Source organism: Homo sapiens, chromosome X (assembly GCF_000001405.40).
Source record: "Homo sapiens chromosome X, GRCh38.p14 Primary Assembly".
Lineage (NCBI taxonomy): Eukaryota > Metazoa > Chordata > Mammalia > Primates > Hominidae > Homo > Homo sapiens.
In genome coordinates this window covers 140921451-140928930 of record NC_000023.11, presented here as the reverse complement: position 1 = coordinate 140928930, position 7480 = coordinate 140921451, and the positions used below count along the sequence as shown (strand labels likewise).

The 7480-nt window shown below is 39.1% G+C and overlaps 1 non-coding gene across 1 annotated transcript; it reads left to right on the top strand.

Annotated features, from left to right (window-relative positions):
* Positions 1-2699: 2699 nt before the first annotated feature.
* MIR320D2 (microRNA 320d-2) lies at positions 2700-2771 on the top strand. Its single transcript, NR_031725.2, has one exon. It is a non-coding gene; the product is annotated as a microRNA 320d-2 (primary transcript).
* The last annotated feature ends 4709 nt before the right edge of the window (positions 2772-7480 follow it).

Here is a 7480-nt window from a genome sequence, read left to right as displayed (position 1 = left end):
TGTTTTGTGATGTGTCACACTTTCAGACAATGCAGTTCTGGGGAATCGGTATAAGCAAAGTGAAACTTACATTAAATGTAGTCTTGGCTTTTTAAAAAGACACCTAGGAGGCTTTCATTAGGATCCTTCACGGAGTTTGGGGTTTATTTTTAAAATTATTTTAAGACAGAAAATTGAATCACTTGTCCTCATTCTATCACAACACAGTCATTCATTTATTCAATCATTTAGCACCTTATTCATTTGGTCAACTAATATGTACTGAGTATCACTTATTTAATTTACCAAAATCTACTGTGTGCTAGGAACTACACCAGGCACCAAAATGCAATGTTCTCTCTGGCTGCCAGTACTGGTGACAAATGCTAGGATGATGAAAAAAGATTAACACTGCCATCTGAGATGTGTCAGACATCAGCCTGACCAGCTTGTTTCAATTCACTTTTTTTTTTGTCTTCTCCATCATTCATTCATTCATTAACACAAGTATATACTGAGTGCCAGGCACTGTGTTAGCCACTAAAGATGTAATCGAGAGCAAAATCAAAGTCCCAGCCTGGAGTGGTGTCTTCTCTGGTGGAGAATACAGCTATTGATCAAAGAATCACACAAGAAATAAACAATTGTAACTGTGGCAAGTTCCCCGACAAGTCCATTGTGGCCCTCATCCGCGCCCTCAGCTTCATAGAGTACAACCAGAGCAGCTGCATTTTAGTCTCTTTTATGTATTGGGCTTCCAGGTAAGATTAATTGAGGGAAAAATTGGGGTTTGATTTTTAAAAGTTGGAAAGCCACTATTCTATGGCATTTAACTCTGTTATTATATTGGCGATGAATTTTTTTTTCTACTGAATCTTTGCAACTATATGTCTCAAATATGAGATGCACTTTCTTAAAAGTGATTTTTAATCTTGCTGACAGATTATTATTTCCCTAGGATCTCAAATTCCCTCATTGTGTAATCATTTTCTCTAAGATTTTCATCTATCTTTACATCCCAAATGAATCAGTATCAGCTAAATAAATAACTAAATAAATTAATAAAGCAAGAAAGGAATTCCTCTTGACTCACCTACTTCTGCACAAGGAGATTATCTCTAATGCAAACCCAATTCATTCTTGAAGAGGGAAATAACCTGCTAGATTGATCTATAATCAGACACTAAACCCCAATGACCACCCCAACTAGGTGCAAGCATGCTTGGTGTGTCGAACAAAAATGTCTTTAACTTCTACTTACTGAAAAATTTTTTTGATAGTGTTCATCTATGATATCACACTTATTCTTATCCCCTTCAAAAGAGCAACTGCAATATTTTACACTTGTATGATACCACACAATTTAAAAAGAACCTCAAATGCAGAACCTCATTTGATCCTTAACCAACTCAGTAACTTACAAGTAGTATTTGGAAATGGTCTCACCCAACTAGCCAGACACATCTGTCGATGCTTTACTTTTGAGTTTGGGGGATGTCTGCTTGCTAGTGGTAATATTTGTGTTTATGAAGTTCTGAACTACTAACAAGTGAAATAAAGAAAGAAACTTGTATATATTTTCTATTTTATATGGTTTCTATTATGCCCTCACCTCCAATTTTTCACTTACTCGGTTTTCAAGAAACGAGATTATACCGGGTACAAGCAAACCTTAAAGATGTGGATGCTGACTGGTTAAACATGGCATTTTAGCCAAACACCGTACCTTAGCTAACCAAACTATGTCCCTATCTTCATTTTGCAAATAAGATATTGAGGTACACTCATGCTCCTCCTAATTGTTTTAATGTTTTTGAGCAGATGGTACAGCCCTAATTCCACTGAAACAAACCATGGTGGGTTGAATAGGGACCCCAACCCAAAAGATATGTCCGCATCCAAATACCTGGAATATGTGAATGTTGCTTTATTTGAGGAAAGGGTTTTGTAGATGTAATTAAGGTAAGGATCTCAAAATGAGATTATCCTAGATTATCCAGGTGGACCCCAAAACTGATAACACGTGTCCTTATAAGAAACAGAAGAGAAGAGACAAACACATAGAGGAGAAGGTGATGTGAAGACGGAGGCAAGATTGGATTGATGCTACCACAAATCAAGGAATTCTTGGAGCCACCAAAAGCTGGGAGAGGCAGGGAACAAACTCTTTTCTAGAGCCTCTAAAGCAGCAATCCTCAACCTTTTTGGCACCAGGGACCTGTTTCATGCAAGACAATTTTTCCACGTACTCAGGGAGGTGTTGTTGGGGGGCGGTTTTGGGATTAAACTGTTCCACATCAGATCATCAGGCTTTAGGTAGATTATCGTAAGGAGCATGCAGCCTACATCTCTTGCATGTACAGCTCACAATAGGGTTGGTGCTCCTATGAGACTCTCATGTGGATGCTAATCTGACAGGAGGTGGAGCTCAGGTGGTAATGCTCACAGGCCCACTGCTCACCACTGGTCTGTGGCCCAGGGGTTAGGGACCCCTGCCCTAAAGGGAGTGTGGCCCTGTGGACAGCTTATTTTCAGACTGCTGCCACTGGAAATTGGGATTCTCCAGTCAATTACTTGTAGCCATTTTTCACATTAAAGTCTGTATATTCACTGTGTTCTTAGAGCCCTTGTAAAGCTAACCAGCTCTTATCACCTTTAAGCAAGTGGGAACTTTTAGCCTTTCTAAAGTTGTAATTCTACTTCTGAAATGTCTTCAAATGTATCAATAAGCCTTCTCTTCCCAGTTCTTCTTGGAGTCAGGAAAAGCTGGGTTGAGAGGAGCAGAAAAGAAAAAAGAAAAAAAAATCGTTATTTTTAAATTCAAGAAAAAAAGCTGGATTTCCCACTATTATATTGCCACAAAAAATTACTTATTTTAATGCACTCAAGTAAGCCTTGATATTGTGGGTTGTTGGAGAAAAATGCACTATTTCCTGTCTATAAACATCTAAAGAAGAAAAAACATCTAAAATAATCACATTTAGTATTCTTGCAGTATGATTTGGATGCACTTCTGAGGTAATCTCTATTTTACTTAATTTTTATTGCTCCAGTTCAGTTAGCTAGAGTTTTTTATGTTTAGATAGTGTGTATGTGTGTGTGTGTGTGTGTGTGTGTGTGTGTAATATGGGGGTGGCAAGAGGCTGTTTCAGTAGACCATCAAGTTATTCAATTTGTATGCTACTGCTCTAGCTGGATTTCACATATGATATTATTTACTATATTCCTTATGCATTAGGTAAAATAACAGTGGAAAGATAGAAATGTTTTTTACTGAGAATTGCTAGCATAAATTTGAAAAAAACAGCAAATCTGTCAAATTCTTATCATATTTATGCTATAAGACACTTACTGAAAGAAAAAACCCTCTTTTTATATAGCTTATAATTGCAATCCAGATAACATAAAACATTTCTCATTATGGAGGAAAATATGAATGTAAATCTTATCTACATAAAAAGGTTGATGTTTTATTTCATTTCAAAATTCACACAAAACATTTTGTGACTACTTCTACTTTGAAAAGACAGAGCAGATTTATATGAATTTTTATTAATTGCTTCAATCCTTCCTGGCTTTGACAGCCTGGAGTCCTGGAAAGACCATTGGACCTGATTTTAGAAAGCCTGCTCTGCTACTGTGTGAGCTAAGTGTCTGGAAACCTAGATTCTTAATCAAAAAACATGAAGATAAAAGAATCTGTACCACCTAGATCAAAGAGTTATTACCAACACATCTGCCTAATAAAATCCCACTCATCCTTCAGTGCTGTATTAGTCCATTTTCACACTGCTATAAAGAACTGCCTGAGACTATAAAGGAAAGAGGTTTAATTGACTCACAGTTCAGCATGGTTGGGGATGCCTCAGGAAACTTACAATCATGACAGAAGGTGAAGGGGAAGCAAGGCACCTTCTTCACAAGGTGGCAGGAAGGAGAATGAACAAAGGAGGACATGCCAAACTCTTATAAAACCATCAGATCTAATGAGAACTCACTCACTATCACAAACAGTATTGTGGAAACCACCCCCATGGTTCAGTTACTTCCACCTGGTCTCTTCCTTGACATGGGGATTACATAGGGATTACAATTTAACGTGAGATTTGAGTGGGGACTGATAGGGTTTGGCTGTGCCCTACCCAAATCCCATCTTGAATTATAGCTCCCATAATTCCCATGTATCATGGGATGAACCCAGTGGGAGGTAATTGAATCATGGGGGCAAGACTTTCCCATGCTGTTCTTGTGATGGTGAATGTCTTATGAAATCTGATGGTTTTATAAAGGGGAGTTCCCCTGCACATGCTCTCTTTCCTGCTGCCATGTAGGAAGTCCCTTTGCTCTTCCTTCATCTTCCACCATGATTGTGAGTCCTCCCCAGCCATGTGAGTCCATTAAACCTCTTTCTTTTATCAATTACCCAGTTTCAGGTATATCTTTATTAGCAGCGTGAGAACGGATTCATACAGGGACACAGCTGAACCATATTAAGTGCTAAGACCATCACACCTTCCTGTGAGGCAGTGACTTCTAGAGCTGCACATTGGAATCACCTAGGAAGCCAGGGCCACTCCCAGAGATCCTGAATTGCCAGCTTGGGTGGGGCATAGAGCCAATAAAAGCCCCTTGGGAAAACTGGCCTCCTATCTTGTCTGCACAGTCCCTGTACAGGGTTCCTGACCTGTGGTAAGTAAAGAATGTCACTTTCTAACAGGCCTAGGAGCCCCTTGTTATCTTGGGATCTCAAGAGGAGAGGAATTTACTCAACTCATAGGTATTTGAGGGTACAAACCCATGACTGTGCTCAGCTTTAAAAAAACTCTTATCTGAGATTCCTTTTATGGAACAAAGTTCCATCAAAGCCAATTTTAAAGGCCTATATAAAAACAATTATTCTTGCTGCACTTTACACAAATAATCAGGCCAAGTATAATAAAGCAAATCAGTCTTACTATGATTTGTCTTTCATAAAAATGGGATACTGGAGAGAGAAAAATATGTTTCAAAAACTATGATATACCTGTTACTCAATTATAGTCTCATCAGTTGTTTTTGAGTTTTTTTCTGCAAGTTAGACTAACTCTGCTTATTCCTGTGAACCAACCAGTGATCTCTGGCTGCTGATCAGAAGAAACAAGAGGGATGGTTAATGTAATAATCTGGATCAGTATTCTAATTCTGGGCATGTATTGGAATGTATAGCATGTATAGCAATTCCATATCAGCTTGGTTCCAACAGCTGCCCAGTTCATGGAAAGCCTTCTTATTGAGTTTACTTGGGATGGATTTACTTTTTTTTACTTTACTGTTGTGGAATATATTTGCTGTTGTACTCTTTGTGTAGGAATGATGGATAAGCTTACTCAACGTTTTCTTAAACTGAACACTTACTAATCTTCCAGATATTACCTTTTGTTGGAGTTACAAATGGCCTTCACCATACTGACAGTTTCTGACTGAGCTCCTCTCTACCCTGAATACAAGAGACCCTAATAGTTAGGTAGGAATATCATTGTCTTTATTCAGCCTGAAGAAGTTACAGAAGATGGACCTTCCTCCCTCTACAAACCTTAGGATTAAGCGTTCCCTTGTATAAGGGAGGGGGGAAATGTCAGAGGTGTTTGAACCAGAGTGACTCCATCTTGAATAGGGACTGGGTAAAGTGAGGCTGAGACCTACTGGGCTGCATTCCCAGGATGTTAGGCATTCTAAGTCACAGGATGAGATAGGAGGTCGGCACAAGATACAGGTCATAAACGTCTTGCTGATAAAATAGGCTGCAGAAAGGAGCCAGCCAAAAGCCACCAAAACCAAGATGGCAACGAGAGTGACCTCTGGTCGTCCTCACTGCTCGTTATATGCTAATTATAATGCATTAGAATGCTAAAAGACACTCCTACCAGCACCATGACAATTTACAAATGCCATGGCAATGTCAGGAAGTTACCCTATATGGTCTAAAAAAGGGAGGAACCCTAAGTTCCCCGAATTACCCACCCCTCTCCCAGAAAACTCATGAATAATCCACCCCTAGTTCGGCATATAAACAAGAAATAACCATAAAATAGACAACCAGAAGCTCTTGGGGCTGCTCTGTCTATGGAGTAGCCATTCTTTTATTCCTTTACTTTCTTAATAAACTTGCTCTCACTTGAAAAAAAAAATGTGTTCAAAGCCCCGCAGGTTATTTATTTATTTATTTATTTATTTATTTATTTATTTTTTGAGACTGAGTCTCGCTCTGTCGCCCAGGCTGGAGTGCAGTGGCGTGATCTTGGCTCACTGCAAGCTCCGCCTCCTGGGTTCACACCATTCTCCTGCCTCAGCCTCCCGAGTAGCTGGGCTACAGGCACCCACCACCACGCCCGGCTAATTTTTTTGTATTTTTAGTAGAGGCAGGGTTTCACCGTGTTAGCCAGGATGGTCTCGATCTCCTGACCTCGTGATCTGCCCACCTCGGCCTCCCAAAGTGCTGGGATTACAGGTGTGAGCCACCGCACCCGGCTTCTCCCAGGTAATTTTAATGCATAATCAGAGTTTAGAATTCATTTCAACTCACAGTGGCAGAACTCATTCTTATCTTGTTGATCCTATTTTTTTCCTCAAGTTTGACTGAGGTTTAATTGGCAAGAACAAAACTGGAAACGTCACACCTTCTGATTTCAAAATATCTTATAAATATTTACAGTAATTAAAACAATATCATGCTAGCATAAAGACAGACATATAGACCACTGGAACAGTATAGAGAGCACAGAAATAATCCATGCATGTACAATATGCTCAACTGATTTTCTACAAGGCTGCCAAGAACACACAATGGGAATGGACATTCTCTTCAACAACTGGGGTTGGGAAAACTGGATATCCACATAGAAAATAATGAATTTGGACCCATATCTTACACCACACATAAAAATCAACTCAAAATGGATAAAAGAATTAAATGCAAGACCTGAAACGTTAATACTAGATGAAAACATAGGGGAAAAGCTTCTTGTTGATACTCCCAATTTAATCAGTCTCTATTTAAGTGAACTGCTAGACCAAGTGAAGTGCTTCAAATCTTCTATCGAACGTACTGACAAGTACCTTCAGGAAATTTACAACAAATAGGTTACCATCTGAAAATAGCAATAACAGCAGAAGTTTGTGTAAGGTACTCTTCCAAGCACTCTACAAGTACGAACTCATATACTTCACACAGTAACACTATTATAATTTTCATTTTACTGATGAAAACACTGAAGCACAGAGAGATTAAATTATTCACAGTCACACAGCCTGCAGGTGGCTAGGCAGAAATTTGAACTCCAGCCGGTCACTAGGCAATACTGCCCCATAGTAGACTGAGTGCCCACTTTTGCTCCCCTGAAGTGAGTTATTTGCTTTTGGAAAATCAGTTCAGTTTGTTCCCGAAGCTGCGTATGCCTGTTGTATTATAATTACATAATTTAGTCAAATATTATGTAAATACCCACTAGAAAAAAAAGATGAG